The sequence below is a fragment of the Homo sapiens genome, chromosome 20, assembly GCF_000001405.40.
Source record: "Homo sapiens chromosome 20, GRCh38.p14 Primary Assembly".
Lineage (NCBI taxonomy): Eukaryota > Metazoa > Chordata > Mammalia > Primates > Hominidae > Homo > Homo sapiens.
In genome coordinates, this window is record NC_000020.11 from 36,875,147 (window position 1) to 36,901,999 (window position 26,853).

Sequence of the window (26,853 nt, forward strand, 5' to 3'; positions counted from 1 at the left end):
AAAAAAAAAAGAAATTCATCTGTTCCCCCCACCCCCATCTGAAACTAAATATGGAAAAAGAAACAAAGACTTAATAAAGAAACTTTCTGTTAAATGACAAGCAAAGCAATGATGAAAGCCTAAAATACATCTGTGTTTAGGATGCAAAGTAAAAATAGCTTTTTTTTTTTTTTTTTTTGAGACAAGGCCTCACTCTTGCCCAGGCTGGAGTGCAGTGGCATGATCTCGGCTCACTGCAGCTTCCTCCTCTCAGGCTCAGGTGATCCTCCCACCTCAGTCTTCCGAGTAGCTGGGATTAAGGCGCACGACACCATGCCCAGCTAATTTTTATATTTTTTGTAGAGACAGGGTTTCACCATGTTGCCTAGGCTGGTCTCAAATTCCTGGACTCAAGTGATACGGCTCCCTCAGCCTCCCAAAGTGCTGGGCTTACCGGCATGAGCCACTGCACTGGGCCAGATTGTTCTTTCAGTCTAGGCATGCCCCCTTCTAGCTTCTGTTCTAACACACTCATCGGCTTGGAGAGGGAAGTGAATGGCAGACTGTCAGTCCCGCGAAGTCTTCTGAGATTATCTGGTTCAACATGTTACATGTTGTGTGTGGTGAAACTGAGGCTCAGGAGTGCAAATGGGCTTATCCAAGGTCATACGGGGAACTAGAGGCCCCAGACCTCCAGCCTGGGCCTTAGGCATCTGGCCAATGGCCCACAGTCCCAAGGCCAGGCTGCCAGAAGGACAAGGAGGTAGAAAGGAATTGCAACCAGAATCTATGGTGTATGGTTAATACGTGTTACATGCTAACTGCAATGAGGTCTTGAATGCCGAGTTGCTCACAGACTCACCCAGCAGCAGCTCGGCCTGGAGTGACAGGTGAGAGGGAGCAAAGGGCAGCTGGCGTGGGCATGGAGCTGGCTGGGTGTGCCCCAGGCCTCTCCCTCTCATCTCTAGGCCTCACCTATCAGCGCTTCCTTCCTGGGCAGGGCTGAGGATTCACTCACTGCCCACGGCCGGCTGAGCAGGGACAGGAGAATGAGAGGCCTCCGCTGGCGTTACACTCGGCTGGTAAGGGTTCCAACTCCGTCTGTGGTGCAGGTTGGGAGGTGAAAGGAGGTGAGGTCTCTGGCAGGGTGGGGCCTGGGCTAGGGTTGGATGCGGGCAGTGACTTGTTCCCCTCTCAAGTCCCTCCCTGGCAGGCCTGTGGTTTGGAGCAAGGACTGACTCAGGAACATGGGGTCTTAACACCCCTGCTCCAAGGTTCTCAAGGGGGACAGACCGATGTCTCTGTCCCTTCCTCCCTGGAGTGGGTGCTGGATGGAGCTCTGTTCAGAGCCACACACAGCTAGACCTGCCTCAGGCCTGAGCCTGGAGAACAGAGCGGGGCAGGAGAGGGGGTCCTGTCCATCTCTCAGCCCTTGAGAGGTCTCTTCTTCCTGGGAAAAGCCTGCAAGGTCATTGTGTGGAGGCACACACATACACATACATATAACATATACACACTCACACGCATACACATGCAAACACACACACTCACACACTCAAACACACTCAAATGCACTCATACACACTCAAATGCACTCACACACTCAAACACACATACAGACACACACACATTCAAACACACACACTCACACACACACTCTGGTACAGAGTGGAAGCTCGGATGAATGAATGAGTGAATAATGATGCCCCTTATGGATGTAGATATTTACACCATCACAACTCACACAAACACATTGATATATAAACACAAATTTACACTCAATACCTCCACACATTGATGTGCCTACACAACTCTATTCCAAGCCAACACACAATTCGCACAGACAAACACATTTTACATGAACCTACATGTATGATCCCACATATGACTGCATGCATCATTTCACGGGCTTCATGGGGAAACCTTTGGGCTTCATTTTCTTCCTTTGGAAAATGCTGATAAGAAGAAATACACAGAAGGCCAGGCGCGGTGGCTCACGCCTGTAATCCCAGCACTTTGGGAGGCCAGGTGGATCATCTGAGGTCAGGAGTTCGAGACCAGCCTGGCCAACAGGAGGAACCCGTGTCTCTACTAAAAATACAAAAATTAGCCAGGCATGGTGGTGGGCACCTGTCATCCCAGCTATTTGGGAGGCTGAGACAAGAGAATTGCTTTAACCTGGGAGCCAGAGGTCGCAGTGAGCTGACATTGCACCTCTGAACTCCAGCCTGGGTGACAGAGCAAGACCCTGTCTCAAAAAAAAAAAAAAAAGGAAAAAGAAAAAAGAAGAAGAAACACACAGAGATCACAGACAGTGCACACTGAACACAGGCCTGGGCAAGGATGGGTTTTTTGTTGTTATTATTTAATGTACAAACACACACAATTGAAGCTCCCAGGGCTATGCCACCACCTGCCTTCCCCTCTGCTCCCAAGCTTAGAACTTGATCCCTGCCACCCACCCAGGACCATGGCAAACAGACCGACAAGTCGCACGGCCCACGGCCCCATCTGAGCCTTGTGGGGTGCTGGCGGGGGTGGGGGGACTGTGCTCCAGCCCTCAGCTGGCAGGGGCCAGGGAGGAAGCAGGCTGGCGGCAGGGGCAGCGTCCTGTCTGTCGTGGAAACCCCCAACTACCCTGGGCTGGGCTGGGGGTTACAGGCACATGGGCAGGGAGTGATGAGGTGGCCCGAGGAGGCTCTTGGGCTCAGGAGATGGTAGAAGCTGGGACCTCCTGTCCCTGGACACACCAGGCCACTTTGTGTTTTTGCAGCCCAGCCAGGTGGAGGACACCCTGTCTGGGGAGGAGGGTAACGAAGAGGAAGAGGAGGAGGAGGCAGCTCCAGACCCAGCTGCTGCTCCTGAGGATCCCACGGTGCCCCAGCTGACAGAAGCCAGCCAGGTTTTGAGTGCCTCAGAGATTCGGCAGGTCTGGGCATTGCCCATGGCACAAGAATTTCAGCCCTAAACCTAAGAGTCTCACCCTCCTGCCCTACACCAGCCACGCCCAGGGGCACCTAGAGTCACTCTTGCTCTGTTCTCATCATGCGTTACCTCCGGCAAATTGCTTCTTCTCTCGGGGCTTTGCTTTCCCTTCTTGTAAAATCATCCAGTGTTGCTAGCACCTCCCTCTACACTGGGCCAGGAGGTTAAGGAGGTAAAGAAAGAGGCTAGGACGGGCGCGGTGGCTCACGCCTGTAATCCCAGCACTTTGGGAGGCGAAGGCAGGGGGATCGCTTGAGGCCAGGAGCTGGAGACGAGCCTGGCCAACATGGCAAAACCCTGTCTCTACTAAAAATACAAAAATTAGCCGGGTGTGGTGGTGTGCACCTGTAGTCTCAGCTACTCGGGAGGCTGAGGCACAAGATTTGCTTGAACCCAGCAGGCGGAGGTTGCAGTGAGCTGAGATTGTGTCACTCTGCTCCAGCCTGGGTGACAGAGTGAGACTCTGTCTCAAAAGAAAAAAAGGAAAGAAACTAATTCCTACCTAGAACCAGCCCTTGGGAACTGAGGCCAAAGCTGGAGAGGGGTGGGCGGATGAGACGGAGGATCAGGAGGAGGGTTCAGCATCTTTCCTATTCTCTAGCCTCTGGGGGCAAGGGTGACCAAGCAGAAAGAGTCCTGAGAGTCCTGACCTGGGTTCAAATCCTGTCTCTACCATTCACTACCCATGCGAGCTTTGGGCTAGTTGTTCCACCCTCCCTGGGCCTCAGTTTCCTCATCTATAAGATGGGAATAACAACCCCTATCTCCGAGGGCTATGGCTGATGGCATGAAAGTCCCTAGAAACAGCAAACTGCTCTATCGCCTGTAAAGCACTGTGCTGGATGCATGCTAGCTGTCCAAGCCCACCCCCAGGATATGGCAGGAGGGCGCGAGGAGAACTCCTCCATTCACCTCCAACCCTGTCCCCAGCTCAGCTTTCACTTCCCACCAAGAGTCACCGGCCATCCCTGGAGTCTGGTCTTCTGCACGTCAAGGGACGGTTTCAGCCTGCAGAGCCTGTACCGGCGGATGGAGGGCTGCAGCGGGCCAGTGCTGCTGGTGCTCAGGGACCAGGACGGGCAGGTGAGCTGGGCAGGGGCACCACCCGAGGCTCTGGGGGCACCCCACCAGGTACTCATGGGCCCTGTCCCAGGGCAGCTCAGGGACAAGCAGGCAGAGTGACAGACTAAGTCACCTATAATGGACACTGATGATGGCAATGAGACCTGCCCACTCAGAGCCATTCCCCCATTTATGCATTCAACACATCTACATGGGGCGCCTTCTGTGTGCCAGGTGAGAGGTGGGATAGAGCAGAATCAACCCAGAAGAGGTCCCAGCTCTCTTGGAGCTAATGGTCTAATAGGGGAAGGGTCAGACATTAAGCAAATAATCATTTGACTGTAAAACTGCATCTTCATCCTCAGAAGCAGAAGAAACTATGGGGGTGCTGGGCACGGTGGCTCACACCTGTAATCCTAGCACTTTGGGAGGCTGAGGCAGGAGGCTTGAGTCCAGGAGATCAAGACCAGCCTGGACAACATAGCCAGACCCTGTCTCTAAAAAAACCCAAAACCAAAACCAAAAACCAACAACAACCACAAAAAAATTAGCCAGGTGTGGTGGTGTATGCCTATAGTCCCAGCAACTGGGGCCAGGGGTGTTGCAGGGTAGTTGAGGCAGGAGGATCACTTGAGCCTGCAAGGCTGAGGCTGCAGTGAGCCATGATCACACCACTGCACTCCAGCCTGGGTGACAGAGTGAAACCCTGTCTGAAAAAAAAAAAAATAGAGATGTACACTGGCATTAAACTGATGTCAGAAGGAAACATACCAAAATATTAAGAGTGGTTATCTTGGGGAAGAAGGAGGGGGATTAAGAGATGGCTTTACTTTTTTTCTTTTGCTTGTCTATTACTTCTACTTTTTTCTGTGATTACTTGTGTAGAATATATATATACATATATATATATATATATATATATATATATACTTTTTTTTTGAGACGGAGTCTCGCTCTGTCACCCAGATTGGAGTGTAGTGGTGCAATCTTGGCTCACTGCAACCTCCACCTCCCAGGTTCAAGCAATTCTCCTAACTCAGCCTCCCAAGTAGCTGGAATTACAAGCACTTGCCACCACGCCCGGCTAATTTTTGTATGTTTAGTAGAGACAGGATTTCACTAAGTTGGCCAGATTGGTCTTGAACTCCTGACCTCAGGTGATCAGCCTGCCCCAGCCTCCCCCAAAGTGCTGGGATTACAGGCATGAGCCATCACGCTCGGCCCAGAATAAGTATATTTAAGAAAAAGGAGGGCCCTGACGGCCCAGAGGAGGAAGGCAGCAGGAGTTCTTCCTTGGGGAGCATTAAGGGAAAGGATGCATAAGGATTCCTGCTCTTGGGTGTGGAGCCCCCATGCCCCAGCTCTGCCCCAGCTTCCCAGGTGTCCTCTAGGATGAGCCTGTATTACTAAACCTGAAGAATGAGGGTTGCCAGAGGACCCCTAGCTCCCTTCCAGCTGCAGACTACAACTTCCACTTTCCAGATATTTGGAGCCTTCTCCTCCTCGGCTATCCGACTCAGCAAAGGCTTCTATGGTACTGGCGAGACATTCCTCTTCTCCTTCTCCCCACAGCTGAAGGTGATGTTCCCAACCTTCCATGGGGGGAGTGGGGCGTGTGGCGAGACAAAGCTCCCGGGGTCCCAGTGGCTCCCAGCTCCATCCTCCACGATGGGCTGCCTGGTGTGCCACCATCTTCCCACAGGGGAATGAGCAGGGCAGTGGTGGGCAGAGCATCCCCCTTGACCTGCCTGTCCTGCATTTAAAACGTATTTGGTGGGTCTCTGGCAACCGCTGACTGGCTGAGAGGAGGGAGGACCATGCTTGCCAGGCACATGCTGGGAAGACAAGATGGTCCAAAGTAGACCTGAGGGCGTGGTGGCAGGACGACAAAGGAGGACACAGCCAATGGCTTCTCAGGAAGTATGGGGGCCAGGCACCGTGGCTCATGCCTGTAATCCTACTTTGGGAGGCCAACGAAGGTGGATTGCTTGAGTCCAGGATTTCAAGACCTACCTAGGCAACATAGTGAGACCCCCATCTCTACAAAAAATACGAAAATTAGCCAGACATGGTAGAGTACACCTGTAGTCCCAGCTACTTGAGAGGCTGATACGGGAGGATCGTTTAAGCCCGGGAGGTTGAGGCTGTGGTGAGCCATGATCGCACCACTGCATTCCAGCCTGGGCAACAGAGGAAGACCCTGTCTCAAAAAAAAAAAAAAAGAAATATGGGGTGAGGTCATTGCTGGAGGAAGGTGAAGGATCCGGTATCGCGGTCATCACAGGTGTGGGAAGGGAGGGAAGCCTGCTGGAGAACACCGGAGCAGCAGAAGCGCCGCTGGGCCGTGTGAGTGGCGGCTTGGGTTGTGAGGTTAGGACGCCGCCACTTCAGTGCATCGGCTGCTCGGCGCAGGCCTGCAGAGGGGACAGCAGAGAGTGGACAGCCAGGGTTGGGGGTTTTGCCAAACTGGCTTAACACCGGCAGAGAGGGAAAGGAAGTTGAAGGGAGTGAAAATACAACATGGACAACGGAACCTAAACTGGACCAGGAGGGGAGGGGAGAGAAGCGGGGGGCACTGGGGGACACCAAGGCAAAGGTGGGCTCGGCATGAGAGGTCTCCTTGACATCAAAGGCTTGGAGCAGTGACAGCAGTTGGACAATGTGTTGGAAGACAGGATACAGTGGACAGAGAGAGGGACATTTGAAATAGGCTGTGGAGGAGACACCTGCCATCCCTGGTGAGGACAAATTCTCAGATGTGAACATGGAAGACAGCGGCAGAAACCCATTCTGGGGCAGGGCCTGGACGAGTCCACGTAGACAGTGAAGTTTACCAGAGAGCTGTGAAGGGTGGTGGGTGGTGAGTCAGAGCTCAGGTTTCTAATTAATGATGAGTGGGAGAGTGACAGGCACAAGATGACTGGTATAGTCAGGTGGCTCGAGCTGCCCAGGAGCTGGGTGAGAATAATAGTCCCAAACACCTTCCATCCAAAGGTTTCCTGCCTCTGGGTTATTTATTCACTAAAGCTATTGAGCAGTACCTGCTTGGCACAGAGCATACTACTTTTACTACTAGTAAAAATGGCCAGGCCAAGCCCTGTGGTTCATGCCTATAATCCCAGCACTTAGGGAGGCAGAGGCAGGAGGATCGCTTGAGCCCAGGAGTTCAAGACCAGCCTGGCAACAGAGCAAGATGCCATTTTCCACAAAAAGGAAAAAACAAAAACAAAACACGGCCAGGTGCAGTGGCTGGCTCACAACTGTAATCCCAGCATTTTGCGGGACTGAGGTGGGAGGATTGCTTGAGCTCAGGAGTTCAAGACCAGCCTGGGCAACAGAGTGAGATGCTGTCTCTTAAAAAAAATTTTTTTTTAAATTGTTCAGTGGATGAAGTCGTTCCAGGTATTCTGCTATTAGAGATCTCTCCAATGCACAGACTAAGATTCCTTCAGACACATCCAGTCACACAGTCATCTGGTCTCATGACAGGGAGTTCACAAGGAGCTATGGACTGCTTTGCTAAAGGCAAAATATACCATATCTATTGCATTGCTGCCATCAGCTGGAGGGGCTCCATCGAGCTTCCCAGGATCCAGGAAAGGGTGAGGGAGGCATGGTGAGCCAGTGCTGGTACTACTCATCACCACTTGCCTTCCTGAACTTAAGTCTCAGAATTCTAAAGGTCTAGAATTTTCCTTCCATTGCACTGACATTAGACTATTCCTACATTGACTATTCCTAGTAGAATCTTTTGCTGGTTCGTCCTCATCTCCCCAGCCTTTCAACATCAGAGCTCAGGTGTTGGTTCTCATCTCTTCTCTAGTGACCCTCATTTCTTCTGTGTTCTCGTCCATTCCCACAGCTCTCCATGCTGCCTGTATGCTGAGGGTCTCTTCCCTGGACTCCAAACTCACGTATATCCAACAACTGTCCATCATCTCTCCTTGCATCTCAAACATGGCGTTTCTTTTTTTTTTTTTCTGAGACAGAGTCTCACTCTGTCACCCGGGCTGGAGGGCAGTAGCGCCATCTCGGCTCACCACAACCTCCACCTCCTGGGCTCAATTGATCCTCCTGCCTCAGCCTCCCAAGTAGCTGGGACTCCAGGCACATGCCACCATGCCTGGCTGATTTTTGTATTTTTTGTAGAGATGTGGTTTTACTATGTTGCCCAGGCTGGTTTTGAACTCCTGAGCTCAAGTGATCTGCCAGCCTCCACCTCCCAAAGTGCTGGTATTACAGACATGAGTGCTGCATCTGGCCCCAAACATGGCATTTCCAGCTTACCATGTCCCAAACGGAGCTCCTGGCTTTCCCGCACAAAGCCTCCTCCTCCTGCTATCTTCCCCCATCAAAGTGAATGGCATCTCCATCTCCCGCTGCTGAGACAGAAAATCTTGAAGTCTTCCTTAACTCTTGTCTTTCACAACCCCACATCTGAGCTGTCAGCAAATCCTGACAGCTCTGCCTTCTCTCTGTCTATATTCGGGATCCACCAGTGCCATGTCCTTTACTGCCATCTTGGTTCAAGCCACCATCATTACTTGTGTGTCCCTGCTATCACCTCCTAAAAGGTCTCTCACTGCCTCCACTTCAGTCAGCACAGTAGCTGGAGTGATCCTTTTAAAAGGGAAGCCAGGGCAGGGCTCAGTGGCTCATGCCTGTAATCCCAGCACTTTGGGAGGCCGAGGCAGGTAGATCACTTGAGGTCAGGAGTTTGAGACCCATCTGGCCAACACGGTGAAACCCCGTCTCTACTAAAAATACAAAAATTAGCCAGACATGGTGGTATGCGCCAGTAATCCCAGCTACTCAGGAGGCTGAGGCATGAGAATCTCTTGAACCCGGGAGGTGGAGGTTGCAGTGAGTTGAGATCGTGCTGCTGCACTCTAGCCAGGGTGACAGAGTGAGACTCTGTCTTAAACAAACAAACAAACAAACAAAAATGGTGGGGGGGAAGCTAGAACTCACAGCATGTCACTCCTTGGCTTCCTCTTTCACTTGGAGAAGAGCCAAAGTGTGTCCAATGATCTACAAGTCCCTACAACTTCTGGCCTCTCTCTCTGAATGGCATTTCTTGCTACTTTTCCTTTCTCTCGCTCTGCTCCAACCACACTGGCCTCTGAGCTGGTCCTTAAACATGCAAGCCTGCTCCTGCCTCAGGGCCTTTGCACGTGCTATTCTGCCTAGAATGTCCCTCCACTGGATCTCTGCATGGTTCAATTCCCACCTCCTTCTATGTTCTGATGTCACCATCTCAGTGAAGCCTTCCCTGACTACCTGATTTAAAATGGCAACACCCAGCCAAGTGTGGTGGCTCACGTCTGTAATCCCAGCACTCGTGGGACTCCCAAGGCAGGAGGATCACTTGAGGCCAGGAGTTCAGGATCAGCCCTCACAACATAGTGACGTCTCATCTCTACAAAAAGCAAAAAAATAGCTGGGTGTGGTGGCACACACCTGTAGTCCCAGCTACCCCTGAGGCTGGGGCAGGAGGATCGCTTGAGCCCAGGAATTTGAGGCTGCAGTGAGCTGTCATTGCTCATGCCACTGCATTCCAACCTGGACGACAGAGCAAGACCCTGTCTCTAAAAATAAATAAATAAATAAATAAATAAATAAATAAAATGACAACACCCAGCCCTAGGAAGCCCTTAGTGTCCTTCTCCCCCTAGCGTTTGCCATCATTTAACACAGAAATTCTTTTTTTTTTTTTTTTTTTTGAGACGGAGTTTTGCTCTTGTTGCCCAGGCTGGAGTGCAGTGGGGCAATCTCAGCTCACTGCAACCTCTGCCTCCCAGGTTCAAGCGATTCTCCTGCCTCAGCCTCCCGAGTAGCTGGGATTACAGGCATGCCACCACGCCCAGCTAATTTTTGTATTTTTAGTAGAGACAGGGTTTCACCACGTTGGCGAGGCTGGTCTTGAACTCCTGACCTCAGGTGATCCACCTGCCTTGGCCTCCCAGAGTGTTGGGATTACAGGCGTGAGCCACCGTGCCCGGCCAGAGAACTTCTTTTACTTTGTTATCTGCCTTCTCCCACTAGAAAGTCAGTCCGTTGAGGCAGAGGTTTTTGTCTATTGTATTCAGCAGTCTACCCAGTGCCTGAAAATAGTGCCTGGTGCATAAGTGCTTTAAAAAAAAATTGTTGAATGAAATGAGTAACTTTTTCAGGGGAGCCTGTCTTTCCAGTCTATTGTTATGGAATCTCATCTTCTAAAAAATTGGTTAATTCTTGGCTATCTCTGGCCTTCTGGCACTTGTATTCCTCATGAATTCGGTAGTTCGTTGATTGCTATTCCAAACGGCACCATGAACTTGGTCTCAATTCCTTCCACAGCAACGTGTATCTTACTCCTTCAGGTCAAAGGTCATGTCCTTCGAGAAAGTAGAGGAGGACTTGAATGATTCTGTCCCCTTGTGGTCACTTGTTAATATGATCTCATCTCTCCTGAGCATAGGACGTATCTTTTATTAGTCTGTTTTCCGGCTAAAAACCCTTTGGTTGCTCACAGCATTTTGGGCCACTGATTAAGGCAATAACATCCTATCGTTTTGCAGCCCTTTAAAACTATTTTGACTCTTGAATAATTTTTGCATTCAATAAATATATATGTTCCAGGAATACAGCCAGGAAGAAGACAGGCCACACGGAACTTAACGTCCTTAATATAAATAAATAAAGAGGAATGAAACAGGGTCTGGGAGGAAGGGCTACTTCAGATAGGGTGGTCCAGGAAATTTCTGAGATGATATTTGGGCTGAAGGATGAGAGGTGGGCCCTCTGAGGATCTAGGGGAAGAGCATTCTGGGCAGAGGGATTCTAGGTCAGGAATGGGCTTTGGGTGTTCCAGGGATGGAAAGACTGGTGTGGCTAATGTGTAGTCAATAAGGGGGAGAAGGGGCCAGAGAGAAAATCAGGGGTTAGAGCTGGCTGCACTTTTTAAGTTTTGACAGTTTTTTTGTTGTTTTTTAGAGTTGGGGTCTTGCGCTGTTATCCACGCTAGAGTGCAGTGGTGCGATCATAGCTCACTGCAGCCTCCACTCCTGGGCTCAAGTGATCCTTCCACCTTAGCCTCCCCAGTAGCTGGGACTATAGGTGCACACCACTGTGACCAGCTAGGTTTAAAAATTTGTTTTAGGGCCGGGCGCAGTGGCTCGAGCCTGTAATCCCAGCTCTTTGGGAGGCCAAGGCAGGCGGATCACGAGGTCAATAGATTGAGACCAGCCTGGGCAACATGGTGAAACCTGTTTCTACTAAAATACAAAAAGTTAGCCGGGCGTGGTGGTGCGTGCCTGTAGTCCCAGCCACTCAGGAGGCTGAGGCAGGGGAATCGTTTGAACTCAGGAGGCGGAGGTTGCAGTGAGCCAAGATTGCGCCACTGCACTCCAGCCTGGCAAAAGAGCGAGACTCTGTCTCAAAAGAGAGAGAAAAAAAATTTTTTTTAGAGATAGGGGAGGGTCTTACTATGTTGCCTTGGTTGGTCTAGAACTCCTGACCTCGAGGAAACTCCTGGCCTCAAGTGATCCTCCCGCCTCAGCCTACTGAGTAGCTGGGATTACAAGTGCACACCATCACACCTAGCTAGTTAAAAAATTGCTGGGATTACAGGCATGAGCCACTGCGCCAGTCCCAGGCTGCACTTCTGGCCATTGTTAAGGAGTTGAATTTTATCCCCATTGCAATGGGAAGCCATTGGAGGACTTAGGCAGAGGAGAGATAACATCTGATTTGGACGTAGAACAGATCACGCAGATTGCAGTGTGGGTATGGCTGTAGGTACAGACAGTGGATGCAGAGGGACCAGCTGGGAGGCTGTGATCCAGGCAGAGGACGGGATAGAAATGGCGGCAGGCCCGCTGTGTCTAGAGCTGCGAGGCTTGTTGATGAGCTGGATGTGAGGCAGCACTGAAGAGCAGGCGGGCTGGTGTTGTCCGGGTGAGAGTTAGTTAGAAGGGCAGTATCAGTTCCCACTCCTGGCCTGGACTGCTCCCCTCCTCCCTCCAGCTTTGGAAGCAGGAAGCCTCAGGGGTCGTTGTCCTATTCTAGAACAAAGAGGCTTCTAGGCTGTAGGAATTCAAACTAGAGGGCATGCGGTGGTGACTCCAAGGAGACTGAGAAGATAAACCCCAAGATCCCTGAGCCCGGAGTCCCACCTGCGGCTCGGTTGGGGCCTGGATGCTGTTCCCGCCACAACACTGCCATCCAGTGGTTCGGGGTCAAACTGCAAGGGCGGGACTCGCTCGCTTAGTAACCTGAGCCTTTCCCTATGTATCACCCAGGTCTTTAAGTGGACTGGAAGCAACTCTTTCTTTGTGAAGGGAGACTTGGATTCACTGATGATGGGCAGTGGCAGGTGAGTGTCTCAGTCTTCCCGAGTCTTGGGGCGGTCTGTGTTCTGGTCCCTTTCCCTCTGCCGAACTGCTGGGCTAGGCTGCCCTTGATGCAATGGCGAGGCTAGTGGGGAACTCTCAGGCCGTTCCCCTCATTGCTCAGCCTCCCAGCCAACCCCCTCAACCTCACGCTAAGCCAGTATTAAGGAGAAAGGATGCATGAGTGCCCCCACTGAAGTGTTACAGCTGGTGACAGTTTAGTCTGAATGTATGCAACTTTGGGAAAAGAATTCCACATGGTTGGATGAGACTAGCGTCAAGAGATGAGTGTGCCTCGTTTTTCCACCAGCCCAGGAATTGCAGGGGACATAACTCATTGCAGGAACCTCCCTCGGTGAGGACGGGGTAGAGAGAGGTAGGAAAAAAAAGTTGATCTCATCCTGGTGTGACCTTCACATTCAGGGGGCATGCGTCTTATCCTGAGGGCGGGGATGAGAGCATTGCTTGATTAGTACCAGGCAAATTCTTTGCTCTCCCAACTGCCTGAAAAGCCTCCACTGAGGGGCAGCTTGGCACAGAACACATCAGCCATTGCTGATCTGCAGGAATTCACTTCCTGGTTTCAGCCGAGGTTTTCTGTCAAATAAGGGGATTAGAATGGACGCTCTGAAGCATTTGGGCTCTCAGAGTTTGCACCCTGAGATGTACTAGCTTTGGTTAAAGAATTGCCATTTTGTTTTTTTTGAGACAGAGTCTCGCTCTGTCGCCCAGGCTGGAGTGCAGTGGTGTGATCTCAGCTCACCACACCCTCCGACTCCTGGGTTCAAGTGATTCTCCTGCCTCAGCGTCTCGAGTAGCTGGGACAACAGTTGCCCACCACCACGTCCGGCTAATTTTTGTATTAAGAATTGCTATCTTGGACCGAGCGTGGTGGCTTGTGCCTGTAATCCCAGCACTTTGGGAGGCCGAGGTGGGCGGATCACGAGGTCAGGAGATCGAGACCGTCCTGGCTAACATGGTGAAACCCCATCTCTACTAAAAATACAAAAAATCAGCCAGGCGTGGTGGTGGGCACCCGTAGTCCCAGCTACTCGGGAGGCTGAGGCAGGAGAATGGTGTGAACCCGGGAGGTGGAGCTTGCAGTGAGCCAAGATCGCGCCATTGCACTCCAGGCTGGGCGACAGAGCAAGACTCCTATCAAAAAAAAAAAAAAAAAAAAAAAATTGCCATCTTGACCAGGCGCAGTGGCTCACACCTGTAATCCCAGCACTTTGGGAGGCCAAGGCAGGCAGATCGCTTGAGGTCAGGAGTTCAAGACCAGCCTGGCCAACATAGCAAAACCCCATCTCTACTAAACATACAAAAATTAGCCAGGCATAGTGGTGGGCGGCCTGTAATACCAGCTACTAGGGAGGCTGAGGTAGGAAAATTGCTTGAACCCGGGAGGTGGAGGTTGTGGTGAGCCAGGGTCGTGCCACTGCACTCCAGCCTGGGTGACAAAGCAAGACTCCGTTTCAATAAATAAATAAATAAATAAATAAACAAATAAATAAATAAAGCTCTTAACCCCATGGGGAACAATGTGCTGAGTCCCCAATAATTCAGTATAAATTGCTTTAAGGGGCGATAAGACAGGTGAAACTGGGCTGCCGTCCTGGCATGGCCAAGAGCTGATGCTGGTGGCAGAGCCTGGGGGTTTCAGCACACAGGAGTGAGCCGCACCAAGACTGTCCTCTTCTCTCTAGTGGCCGGTTTGGGCTGTGGTTGGATGGAGACTTGTTCCGCGGGGGAAGCTCCCCTTGCCCGACCTTCAACAACGAGGTGCTGGCCCGGCAGGAGCAGTTCTGCATCCAGGAGCTGGAGGCTTGGCTTCTCAGCTGACAGCCCTGCGGCAACAGGTACTCAGCCCTGCTCATGATGCCACCCAGGCCTTCCTGACACACAGCAGCCTGTGCTGTTTGAAACACAGATGGTGAAGGGCCCTAGAGTTGGCCGAGGCTGCTGGCCAGCCTCCTTGTGGCCTGGGGACCCAAGATACAGGTGGGGGCAGGCACTGCTCTTTTGCAGAGGTGACTTTGAAGGATTAAAAGACGCTTACACCTTACTCAAGCAGCACAGAGACCCTAAGCTAACAGGGTCTTAGAAAACTCAGAAAAATCCACATCTCTTCCCCGCTAGTGCCTGCCTCCTGGCAAAGGGAAGATTTTTCACTATGCTGTTCCTCGCCAGCTACTGAACGAGGAAAACCAACCTCATGAACATTATCATTTTAGAGGTTCTACAACTGATTCATGTTTATTGTAGAAAAACCAGAAGACGTTAAAAAAATTAAAATTGCCTAAAATTCAACCCCCCCCAACTCTTAACATTTTCATGTATATCCTTCCAGACAATGTTCCATGAATGTGTGTGTGTGTGTGTGTGTATACTTACAAAAACAGGATTCTACTCTGTATGTGTGGAAATGATTTTAACTTACAGAATATTGTCAAACCTTAGAAACCTGGGCTTGAGCACTGGAACTAATAAATACTGTAGCAGCGTCGTTCCTCCTCTGGCCTGCTGCAGAATGTTGAGGCCTTTTTGTCTGCCACCAGTGCCAGGTGCTTGTGAGTCTGTTATTTAATTTCACAATGAAGGTATGAAAGGAGTAAATGAGTAATATGCATTTTTGGACAAAGAGGTCGAAACCTTTGTGGAACACAACTTTCAAGATGGAGATATATATTCACGAAGCTTTATTGCAGCTGTTTCCCTTACCCAGTTGAAGTGGCCAGTCATTTTAATTTGCAGTTCTATTTACATTCCCAAGGTAACCACGTTCAGTAACTCTCTAGAGGCTAAGCTGTTAAAATTTCCATTTTTATACAAATAGCAAAGATATTTCTTTCTCTTTCTTTCTTTCTTTCTTTCTTTTCTTTCTCTCTTTCCTTCCTTCCTTCCCTCCTTCCTTCCTTCCTTTCTTTCTTTTTGTTTGAGACAGAGTTTCGCTCTTGACCCCGAGGCTGGAGTGCAGTGGCCTGATCTTGGCTCACTGCAACCTCTGCCTCCCGGATTCAAGCGATTCTCCTGCCTCAGCCTCCCGAGTAGCTGGGATTACAAGCACACACCACCACGCCCGGCTAATTTCACCCGGCTAATTTTTGTATTTTTAGTAGAGACTGGGTTTCGCCATGCTAGCCAGGCTGGTCTCAACTCTTTACCTCAAGTGATCCGCCCACCTTGGCCTCCCAAAGTGCTGGGATTACAGGCATGACCACCTCGCCTGGCCAAGAAAAATGTAACCTTGTAAATAGCACAGCGTTCTCATAATGGAAACAGTTGCAAAGAACATAAAGTACAGCTGCGTTACATGTAACAAAAGATGCAAACAAAATAGATTCAAGTTGTTTTGCAGACAGCACAATGATACAATATTAGGACTACAGAATCTCAGAGTAAACCACAATGATTTAAAGGTAAGATACACAGAAATAAAATGATTTTAACAGAAAAATATGACATTCCTGACCTTAGGTCTGGGCACATGATGTCTGACCCCTATAGAGGCACCTTGGCTAAAATGGGAATGACCTAGTGCCATGGCTGACCTCACTTGTGCGTTGCTGAGCCCATATGTGAACAAATCCCCTTGATACAGCACCATGGTAGGCATGAGAGGAGAAGTGTTTTAACTATTCTCTTATGAATTGTAACCAACCCTTATTATCTACTGATGGATGGACAGGGGGTGGGGTGATCATACAGGATGGCAGACATTCCAAGTACTCTTCACCCCAGTGTGGACGGAACAGAATCTGGCTACACGGTGGCCAGTGATGGACTGCTGGGAAATCTGCTGGCCTGTGGTCTGAGTTCCCCTACTTGCTCAGGCTGCCCCTCACTCCCAGTGTGCCAGGGAGGCTTAGTCCGGGGAGCATCAGAGCAGAAGACATTCGGGGCTCATGGCTCCCATCCCCACTGGCCTGTATCTTCAGCACCCTCTGGCCACCACCAGCTTTGGCTCTAACTGCAGACTTTGTTCTTGGTGAATTGCTATAGAACTGGGAATGAGGTGTGCCCTGGGCACAGGGGCACTGCCCCACCAAGGTGGTGCCCACTCCACTGCTGGGAAAACGAAGTTACCTAGCGGAGCCTGGAGCCCACTGGGTGGTCACTAATTTCAGCACAGGCAGTGCAGTGTTTGTGCTTTTTTTTTTGGAGATGGAGTCTCACTCTGTCACCCAGGCTGGAGTGCAATGGCGTGATCTAGGCTCACTGCAACCTCCGCCTCCCAGGTTCGAGCAATCCTCCTGCCTCAGCCTCCCAAGTAGCTGGGACTACAGGCACACGCCGCCACGCCTGGCTAGTGTTTGCTCTTAAATACACAAAATGCACTGAACCAGCAAAAACAAAGTCCCAGGTCTGAGGAGCTCTGAGGATGATGCCTGTGATGGCCTCTGGCCAGCTCTCCAGGATACTGAGAGAGCAGGTCAGGGGAGGCCTTCTCCAGGCTGGGCAGTGGGAAGGCCCTCTGGACCGGGGGAGTGAGTATTCAGGGGACAAAGGCACTACCCGGGTCTGGAGCCGCCACGGAGCCAGGGCACAGCCTAGTTTGGGGGATTCCTCTGTCACTGGGGTAGGATCTCCCAACAAGAGGCGGCTTTATGTTCCACTCACGAAGAGGCCAGAGCTCTCAGATCTTCCCCAAAACCTAATCAGGCCTCTCACCAGCGTGTTGGAGGCCACTCCTGGCCATCATCTCCAACTCTTTACCCCAACCTGGCACCTTGTAGGGGGCTAGAAGGGTGAGGGGAGGTGTCTTTCACTTATGCTTAGGTCACTCTTAGAGGACTATCCTCAAACTTGAGGTGACAGGGAACTCTTCACGGGGGCAGGATTTGATGTTTTGTTTTTAGCCATGTTTGTCAATGACAATGTCAATTTCTAGTTCCAATTTGTACCCTTGTCTCATTTCTACATTAAAAACAAAAAACAATCATCTGTCATAAAAGTTCAGAGTAAGCTGGGTGTGGTGGCACATGACTTTAGTCCCAGCTACTTGGGGGGCTGAGGCAGGAGGGTCGCTTGAGCCCAGGAAAGTTCGAGTCCAAGCTGGGCAACAGAGCAAAACCTTGTCTCTTAAAAAAGAAAAAAAATAGAGTTCAGAATAGATAAAAGAGTTGTTATTCTAAGAAAATAGACTACTGAAGGAGAAAGGCTTTAATAATATTAAAAATAGGCAAGGTAATGCTTTTCATAGTATAGTAAGATTTGCCTAATACCATCTTATTTCTTTGATTAAAAGTTACTTAGCTTCAGCATGCGTGTACATTCAAAATACAAAATTAAAGCATGAGTTGTCATTAATTTGCAGAATTCTATGATTGAAGCCTCTAAATGAATTGTGCAGGAGAGGGAGTTTGTAAACAACTGACTACAGACATTCACATTGGGTCATCTTTAAAAAGCTGGACTCTGCTTTTGGATGCTTCTCGGAGGCGAGTTGGATTTTGGACTGAAGTACTGTCGTTCCATTCCTTTTTTTGAGGTGTTATGAGTGGGGCTATAACATCGCCATCCTATTAGGAAGAGAGAGAAAAACAGGCAATAGAGAAAAGCCAGTTTCCATCATCTTATTTCTGAGTGAAAGTCTCAAGTGCGCACATCCTCATCTTGCATATAGATTGCTTCTAGCTGTCCTCAATCCAGGGAAACTCCAAATTACATATGCCCTGTGCTTGGGGCAAATTAGAAACACTACAGTCTTACGCAGGAAGAGCCTTCATGAAAACAGCCACTGGCCTCTGCAGAGATGACTGGGAGCAGCATACCACTGCCCACCTCTATGGCCTCCTTCACACACCTTCACGGAGCACAAACTCTGTCCTGTTTTCCCAGGAGAAAGACGGGATGCACTGAACCCCTAGCTTCTCTCTCGCCTGGTCCCCTCTGCAATAAAAGGCCCAGGTCTACAAGATGGCAAAGAAGGGGAGGAAGAACAGTATGTACCTGCAGAATTTAAATTTTTCTCTGCATCAAAGCTCTAACGTTGGTCCCATCAGCATAGGCTCCAGCCAAAGAAGCTCCTCCACCCAAAATAAGGGAGAGATCCAAAGGGAGGCGATACAATGACGTGAAACCATAGAGGTAAGAAGCAAGGCCTCCTAATACTTGACTCTATGCTAAACTGTTCTGAACTTGTGGGTAGATCTTCTTTGGTTACAAGATGATGCACGATCTTGGAGAGCCTCTGTTGTACCAGGAATACAATGCTGGTGGGAGGATTCGTGCTCCTCATCTGCTTATTTGCTCTCAGATCCATTCTTCACTCTTCCTCTCCCTACTCTGTCTCACAGGAGCTACTCCGGTAAATTACATTTCTCAGCTCCCATGCCTGTTGGTTTCCAGTTAGATTTGGTCAGTGGGAGGCTCTGGTGGGAGACTGGAGGTGAGAAGAGGGCAGAGAAGTCAGGTTTTTTCTCTCCCTACCTCCTCTGGCACGAGCGGCAGTGGCAGTGACTATTCTGTGGTTCTAGCTTTTGCAGGTGGCCCCAGCTCCTGGACTCCCACCTGCTCCCTTGGTCTCTCCTATCCTAGAGGTGGTAGCAGCTTCCTGCTGTTGAATCACTGTCCTCTATGCTCATTTAGCTCTGCCAAAACTTTTGTATCTCACCCCCATGTTAAATTTTTTCTGTTGAACTACACTGGATCTGACTTGATAGAACTATTAAAAATAGTTTTTAAAAAATGTGTTATTATTTTTTTTTGAGATGGAATTTTGCTCTGTCACCCATGCTGGAGTGCAGTGGCACAATTTTAGCTCACTGCAACCTCCACCTCCAGGGTTCAAGCGATTCTCCCGCCTCAGCCTCCCAAGTAGCTGGGATTATAGGTGTGCATCACCATGGCTAATTTTTGTATTTTTAGTAGAGATGGGGTTTCACTATGTTGGCCAGGATGGTCTCGAACTCCTGACCTCAGTAAAGGCAATCATTTAGGCCAGGCGTGGTGGTTCATGCCTGTAATCCCAACACTTTGGGAGGCCAAAGCAGGTGGATCACTTGAGGTCGGGAGTTCAAGACCAGCCTGGGCAACATGGTGAGACCCCGTCTTTACTAAAAATACAAAAATTAGCCGGGCATGGTGGCACGTGCCTGTAGTCCCAGCTACTCAGGAGGCGGAGGCAGGAGAATCACTTCAACCCGGGAGGTGGAGGTTGCAGTGAGCTGAAACTGTGCCACTGCACTCCAGCCTGGGCAACAGAGCAAGACTCTGTCTCAAAAAAAAGTCATCCTATTGTCATGATACTTGTACTTAAAGGCCTATCTCAAAATCAACAGTATTTATTTGTCTTTAAACTCATCTCTATTTCTACCCAGCTTGCTTTCTTTCTTTCTTTTTTTGAGACAGCATCTTGCTCTATCAACCAGGCTGGAGTGTAGTGGTGTGATCATAGCTCATTGCAGCCTCAGACTCCTAGGCTCAAGCAATCCTCCCACCTCAACCTCCCAAAGTGCTAGGATTACAGATATGAGCCACCATGCCTAGCATATAGCCAACTTTTTAATTTCTACTCATTCTACTTTCAGTTCTAGTGAATTTTATAAATGTAAACAAATACGTCACTTTCCTGCTTAAAACCCTTCAGTGTCAATGCTCCCTACTGCTCTTGGCTGACAGGACTTTGATAAAGCCCCAGACACCTCCACACTCTATGCTCCTTCCTGAAATGCATCATGTTCTTTCTCATCTTCCGACCTAACCCTGTGGTGTCTATGCCTCAACCCCTCCCCTACCACCACCTCCTGCTGCCAGCCCTTAACCCAGACAACTCCTCACTCAACCTTCAGGTCTCAGTTTATAAGCCCTTCTTTAAATAAGCTTTTCCTGACCAACCAAGACCAGCTAAATCCTCCTTGTTTTTCCTCTTCTAAGACTGTGTACTCACCCTATACCCAAAGTACTTACCATGCTCCTATAATTATTAACTTATGGAGAAAAATTAATAATAATTATTATTATCCCCAACTAGATTATTATCCCCAACCTGAATGGGATCCATGGGTTATTAGGAACTGTCTATCTTAGGTACTGTTCCAGGTACCTAACACAGGGCATGGCAAAATACTCACTCCGTGAGTGAATGTACCAAATTTATAGTAGTTATCACGACACAGCCAAACTTTAATAGCCTCTCTTGACTCTCTATTTCCAGACTCTCCAAGTTCCAGTCTATCTGCAGCTAGAGTTTTCAGTGATTTAGTTTCAGTGATTTAGTTTCACAGTACCTAGGACAGACATACAGTTGGCCCTCTGCATCCATGGGCAGATTCAACCAACTGTAGATAGAAAATATGAAGGGGGAAAAATGGATGGCTGTGTCTATACTAAGCATGTACAGAATTTCTTCTTGTCATGATTCCCTAAACAATACAGTATTAACAACTATTTACATAGATTTACATTGTAGTAGGTTTTATAAGTAATCTAGAGATATTTAAAGTATAAAGGAGGATATGTATAGGTCATATGCAAACACTATACCATTTTATATAAGGGACTTGAGCATCTGTGGATTTTTCTTTTCTTTTCTTTTCTTTTTGAGACAGAGTCTCGCTCTGTCACCCAGGCTGGAGTGCAGTCGCCGGCTAATTTTTTGTATTTTTAGTAGAGACGGGGTTTCACAGTATTAGCCAGGATAGTCTTGATCTCCTGACCTCGTGATCCGCCCACCTCGGCCTCCCAAAAGTGCTGGGATTACAGGCATGAGCCACCGCGCCCAGCCTATCCATGGATTTTTCTATCTGTGGGGTCTGTGGGGGTCCTGGAACTAGTTCCCCACAGACACCAAGGGACAATTCTACTCTTATTCCCACGGGTGTCACTCTAGTTGGAGATGACACACATTCAGGTAGATCATACAGTGCATGGTAATTCTTGAATATGCTCAATGATTCCCTCCCCACTGTACAGAGAAAAAAATCTCTTAGCCAATTATCCAAGGTTCTCAATAATCTAGTCCACTCTTCCCATTTAACCTCTCCACACTTAACAGTAAGAACTTTCTGGCTGGGCATGGTGGCTCACACCTGTAATCCCAGCACTTTGGGGGGCCGAGGTGGGCGGATCACGAGGTCAGGAGATAGAGACCATCCTGGCCAACATAATGAAACCCCATCTCTACTAAAATACAAAAATTTAGCCAGGCATTGTGGCACATGCCTGTAATCCCAGCTACTCAGGAGGCTGAGGCAGGGGAATCGCTTGAACCTGGGAGGCAGAGGTTGCAGTGAGCCAAGATCGTGCCACTGCACTCTAACCTGGGTGACAAAGCAAGACTCCATCTCAAAAAAATGAATGAATTAATTAATTAAAAAAAAAAAGAATTTTCTACCCTGACAGGTCTCCTCATGGTCCCCTAAACAGTCTCAGCTCATTCCAGCTTCATGCCTTTGTGCTCCTCCCACTGCCAAATATACCCTGCATTCTCCCTGCTACTCATCCAAACACAACCCTGCCTTCTAGATCTAGCAGATCCTGCCCCTTCACCAGGCTTCTCCCAGAGATCTCCCAACTCTCTGAATCCTCAGAGATCTTACCTGGATCATGCCTTGTGGCACTTGATAAAGCACCGACATCCTGAGCTACGCTTTCATGTCTCACCCTATCCTTTGTTCCCTTTAGCACCTGACACACAGGGAGGTGTGAGGGAGAGTTCTAGACTAGGCAGTAAAGCACTGTTGCCCTGCATGCCAATCATATTCATTCATTCATTCATTCAATAAATGCCAACTGGCCACATTCTCTGTGCAGACACCTACCATGTGTAGGTCAGTAAGAGACAATTTTAACAACCTTCTCTACAGGGTTGGCAACTGTGGCTTGGCTCCTCTTCCCTCTACTCACATTCTAGATAATTTAAATAGCTAACTAATATACTGAAGTAACGAGGTTTAGAAACATGAAGTCTATTATCAATTTTATGTTAAACAAGTTAACTACTCAGCTTTGGTAACCTCTGAAAGATGGAGACACTATGAATAACCTTCCAGGGCCACTGGTGAACAACATTAGAAAGCATTATTTACATGTTCACATTTTTATTATTAGGACAATAATGCTAAACAGTATCCATTCCCAACTCCTGTAGGAAGAAATCACTGGCTGACACAGATTCAGACATTTTAAAAGGAAAGAAAGTGAAAGACCTTATTTTCAAAACCATAACCAAATGACTATAACTTAAATGGGAACTTTTCAGCAGATAGACTTACTTTTGGTTTTTACTTAAAAATAAAAAATTGTGCAAAGTTTGTGAGTAACAGGCCACCTACCTGCGGCTTGGTGAAATTTCTGTCTGCACACCACTGAACAAAATATTGTCTTGCGGCATACAAACTCTTTCTGTCCACCTTCTTACAATATACTCGAATCAGCTGCTCTGCAAATTTCTCTGGCAGAAGTTGTGAAACCTTTTTAAAATGAAGAGATTTCACTATCACCTTGAAGTCACACATTGGAGATATCAGCTGGTCCCTAGGCTCCTAACTATTCCTTTTTTTTTGAGACAAGATCTCCCTGTCACCCAGGCTGGAGTGCAGTGGCACAATCACAGCTCACTGAAGCCTTGACCTCCCAGGCACAAGTGATCCTCCCACCTCAGCCTCCTAAGTAGTTGGAACTACAGGCATGAGCTACCATGCCTAAGTTTTTTATTTTTTGTAGAGATGGGGTCTCGCTTTGTTGGCCAGGCTGATCTTAAGCTCTTCGTCTCAAGTGATCGTCCTGCTTCAGCCTCCCAAAACACTGGGATTACAGGTATGAGCTACTGTGCCAGGCCCACTTTAATTGTAAAGATATGCCTTAAAACCTAATTTGCATATAAAATGCTAATTTACTATAAAGATTTGCTACATGCCACTATAGTATATTTGTTTTGCCTAAGTAGTTACCTGGTTTTTAGTAATCCTGATTGCTCTGTTGGGGGCAGTCTTACAATAGAAGCTAACATGATCAATTGGATTCTTTTCTTGCATTCCATAATCCATGTTGATAACCTAAATAAAAGCAATTCACAAGTAATCATATAGCAAGCAGGAGAACTGAACTCAGGGCTGTAGGAGCATAACAAGAAATGGAACAGAGGCCGGGCGCAGTAGCTCATGCCTATAATCCCAGCACTTTGGGAGGCCAAGGTGGGTGAATCACGAGGTCAGGAGTTCGAGACCAGCCTGGCCAACATAGTGAAACCCCACCTCTACTAAAAGTACAAAAATTAGCTGGGCGTGGTGGCATGCGCCTGTAACCCCAGTTACTCGGGAGACTGAGGCAGGAGAATTGTTTGAACCTGGGAGATGGAGGTTGCAGTGAGCCGAGATCGCACCACTGCACTCCAGCCTGGCGACAGAGTGAGACTCTGACTCAAAAAAAAAAAAAAAAAAAAAGAAAGAAAGAAATGGAACAGAGCCTTCTGGGGATTTGGAAATAAGAATGTTGATGTGACTCATGGTGGAATAAAAATAACTGGTTCGTGACCACTCTTAGGGATTTGGTATTGAAATCTGGGAAGAATGGGAAATGCACTTGTGTGTTTGATCTAAGTGTGGTGTAAACTCAATCCCTGCTATGTGACAGACACAGATAGACACTAGAGGTACAACAAGGACACTTTAAAATAAAATCCCAGGCCGGACACAGTGGCTCACTTGAGACCAGGAGTTCGAGACCACCCTGGTCAACATGGTGAAACCCTGTCTCTACCAAAAATACTAAAAAAAAAAAAAAAAAAAAATTAGCCAGACGTGGTGTTGTGCACCTGTGGTTCAAGCTACTCGGGAGGCTGAGGCACAAGAATTGGTTGAACCTGGCAGGCGGAGGTTGCAGTGAGTTGAGATTGCGCCACTGCACTCCAGCCTAGGCAACAGAGCAAGACTCTGCCTCCAAAAATAAATAAGTAAAGAAAATCCTAGCCCCCACAAACCAGGCAGCCCTAGATTGAAATTCAACAAATAATTATAAAAGTATTCAACCACAGTTGAAAAGCAAAGGGTGCTTTGAAATGTTCTAACAGGTTACCTGATGTAGCCTAGGGTGCCCGGAGAATGACCGGAAACATTTTCCTGGGAAAGTGACTTTACTAAGTGAGCAAGAAACAAACAGGCTTAGGTGGGAAGAAAAAGAATTGCAGGCAGAGGAAACAGCTCAGAGGCAGAGAGGACTGAAACTGTCTCCTGGATTTAGCAACTCTGAAGTCACCGGTGATTCTGGAGAGAGTACAGTGATGGCAACAGAAAAAAAGGTTCAGGAGAAAATGAGAAACAAAAATGTAAGAGGCGCAATGGCTCACGCCTGTAATCCCAGCACTTTGGGAGGCCGAAGCCAGCGGATCACGAGGTCAGGAGATCAAGACCAGCCTGTCCAATATGGTGAAACCCCATCTCAACTAAAAATACAAAAATTAGCCAGATGTGGTGGCAGGCGCCTGTAGTCCCGGCTACTCAGGAGGCTGAGGCAGGAGAATCGCTTGAACCCAGGAGCTGGAGGTTGCAGTGAGCCGAGATCGTGCCACCGTACTCCAACCTGGGTGACACAGTGAGACTCCGTCTCAAAAAAAAAAAAAAAATGTAAGAGAAGGCAACTCTTAGAACTTTGGCTGTTCAGAGGAGGCAAGATGTTAAAGAAAAGAAAATTACAGCTAGATAGGAGGAGTAAGTTCTAGGGTTCTATAGTACTGTAGGATGACTACGACTATAGTTAACAGTAATTTCCTTTTTTTTGACACAGAGCCTTGCTCTGTTGCCCAGGCTGGACTGCAGTGGCACAATCTCGGCACACTGCAACCTCTGCCTCCCAGGTTCAAGTGATTCTCCTGCCTCAGCCTCCTAAGTAGCTGGGATTACAGGTATGCACCACCACACCCAGCTAATTTTTGTATTTTTAGTAGAGACGGGGTTTCACCATGTTGACCAGGCTGGTCTCAAACTTCTGGCCTCAAGTGATCCACCTGCCTCAGCCTCCCAAAGTGCTGGGATTACAGGCATGAGCCACCGGGGCCGGCCTAGTTAACAGTAATCTATTACATAGTTTTTTTGTTTTTTTTTGATATGGAGTTTCTGTGTCGCCAGGCTGGAATGCAGTGGCTCGCTCTCGGCTCACTGCAACCTCTGCCTCCTGGGTTCAAGCGATTTTCCTGCCTCAGCCTCCCAAGTAGCTAGGATGACAGGTGTGTGCCATCATGCCTGGCTCACTTTTTTTTTTTTTAATTTTAGTAGAGACAGGGTTTCACCATGTTGGCCAGGATGGTCTCGATCTCCTGACCTTGTGATCTGCCCGCCTTGGCCTCCCAAAGTGCTGGGATTACAGGCATGAGCCACCGTGCCCGGCCTATTACATAGTTTTAAATAGCTTGAAGGAGAATATTGAATGTTCCCAACACAGAGAAATGATAAATGTTTGAGATGATGGGTATGCTAACTACCCTGATCTGACATTTATATACACTATGTACCCCATGAAAATAGACAGTTATCATTTATCAATTTAAAAAATACATAAAATAAAAACATAAAGGAAAAAAAAGACAGCAAGAAAGAAGTATCTGGAGAGGAATCTGGTGCCTTAGAAAGGTAAGGGAAGATGAGTCTGACCCTGAAAAAGAGGAGAGGGGAAGAGCAGTGTGGTGTTCATGATTTTCTTGAGACAGGCTCTTGCTCTGTTGCCTAGGCTGGAGTGCAGTGGTGCGATCTCAGCTCACTGCAACCTCCACCTCCTGGGCTCAAGCGATCTTCCCACCTCAGCCTCCCGAGTAGCTGGGACTACAGGCATGCACCACCACACCTGGATAATTTTTGTGTTTTTGGTACGGATGGGGTTTTGCTGCAGCAAGGCATGATCATGCCACTGCACTTCAGCCTGGGGCACAGAGAGAGACCCTGTCTCAAGATAAACAAAAGTTTAAACTAACATTGGCTGGGTGCAGTGGCTCATGCCTATAATCCCAGCACTTCAGGAGGCTAAGGCAGCAAGATTGCTTGAGGCCAGGAGTTTGAGACCAGCCTGGGCAGCATGGTGAGACCCTATCTATACAAAAAACTTAAAAATTAGCTGGGCATGGTGGCACATGTCTGTAGTCCTAGCTACTCAGGAGGCTGAGGTGGGAGGATCACTTGAGCCCAGGAGTTTGAGGTTATAATGAGCTGTGATTACATCACTGCACTCCAGCCTGGGCAACAGAGTGAGACCTTGTCTCTAAAAAATAAATAAATAATTAACACTAAATACAATAAAAAATGAAGTTATTCAGTTACAGCAACCACATGTTAAGTGCTCAACAGCTGCATGCAGCTAGTGACTATGGAAAGGGACATCACTGACCAAGAATATCTCTGTCACTGCAGAAAGTTCTATGGGACAACACTTCTCTAGAACACAAGTAGAATTACCCTAAGCCTTTGACAAGAACAAAGCTGTTTCCCCACTATAAGAATGGGAATACTGAATACAGTGACAGATG

At 48.5% G+C, this 26,853-nt stretch overlaps 2 protein-coding genes across 6 annotated transcripts in view, besides 1 other annotated feature; one reads left to right on the forward strand and one right to left on the reverse strand.

Annotated features, from left to right (window-relative positions):
- The first annotated feature begins 974 nt into the window (after positions 1 to 974).
- TLDC2 (TBC/LysM-associated domain containing 2) lies at positions 975 to 19,089 on the forward strand. 3 transcript variants are annotated; one of them, NM_080628.3, is made up of 7 exons: positions 992 to 1,061; positions 2,753 to 2,908; positions 3,895 to 4,047; positions 5,509 to 5,604; positions 12,309 to 12,382; positions 14,105 to 14,257; positions 17,716 to 19,089. In NM_080628.3, exons 1-6 carry the CDS (start codon positions 1,029 to 1,031, stop codon positions 14,238 to 14,240), a joined length of 648 nt encoding a protein of 215 aa, NP_542195.1. In that variant the 5' UTR covers positions 992 to 1,028; the 3' UTR covers positions 14,241 to 14,257; positions 17,716 to 19,089. The 3 variants fall into 3 exon arrangements, with proteins under 3 accessions (NP_001291712.1, NP_542195.1, XP_016883163.1); NM_001304783.1 differs by lacking the exon at positions 5,509 to 5,604 and having other exon boundaries at positions 975 to 1,061; XM_017027674.2 differs by lacking the exons at positions 992 to 1,061; positions 17,716 to 19,089 and having other exon boundaries at positions 2,821 to 2,908; positions 3,900 to 4,047.
- Positions 12,042 to 12,764: an enhancer, noted in NCBI's record as "H3K27ac-H3K4me1 hESC enhancer chr20:35515591-35516313 (GRCh37/hg19 assembly coordinates)". NCBI's record gives its function as "activates a minimal SCP1, AML or CMV promoter by ChIP-STARR-seq in naive H9 embryonic stem cells {active_cell/tissue: H9 hESC(naive)}" and the evidence as "EXISTENCE:reporter gene assay evidence [ECO:0000049][PMID:30033119]".
- Positions 14,627 to 26,853, reverse strand: part of SAMHD1 (SAM and HD domain containing deoxynucleoside triphosphate triphosphohydrolase 1) — a 61,936-nt gene continuing 49,709 nt past the window's right edge. Inside the window, exons 14-16 of one of the 3 annotated variants that reach the window (NM_015474.4) lie at positions 23,294 to 23,398; positions 22,676 to 22,813; positions 15,083 to 17,920 (exon numbers count right to left, since the gene is read on the reverse strand). In NM_015474.4, coding sequence (NP_056289.2) covers positions 17,786 to 17,920; positions 22,676 to 22,813; positions 23,294 to 23,398 — 378 coding nt within the window. In that variant the 3' untranslated portion in view covers positions 15,083 to 17,785. Of the gene's footprint in view, positions 18,784 to 22,675; positions 22,814 to 23,293; positions 23,399 to 26,853 lie in introns of all 3 variants that reach the window. The other 2 variants (NM_001363733.2, NM_001363729.2) reach the window with 2 other exon arrangements.

What these genes read in the sequence shown, in the direction of transcription:
- TLDC2 (NM_080628.3), top strand. Translation starts at nt 1,029, where the DNA reads ATGAGAGGCCTCCGCTGGCGTTACACTCGGCTG. An exon ending in TCAGGGACCAGGACGGGCAG is followed by an intron (nt 4,048 to 5,508) that starts GTGAGCTGGGCA and finishes TCCACTTTCCAG; the next exon opens with ATATTTGGAGCCTTCTCCTC. An exon ending in CCTTCTCCCCACAGCTGAAG is followed by an intron (nt 5,605 to 12,308) that starts GTGATGTTCCCA and finishes TGTATCACCCAG; the next exon opens with GTCTTTAAGTGGACTGGAAG.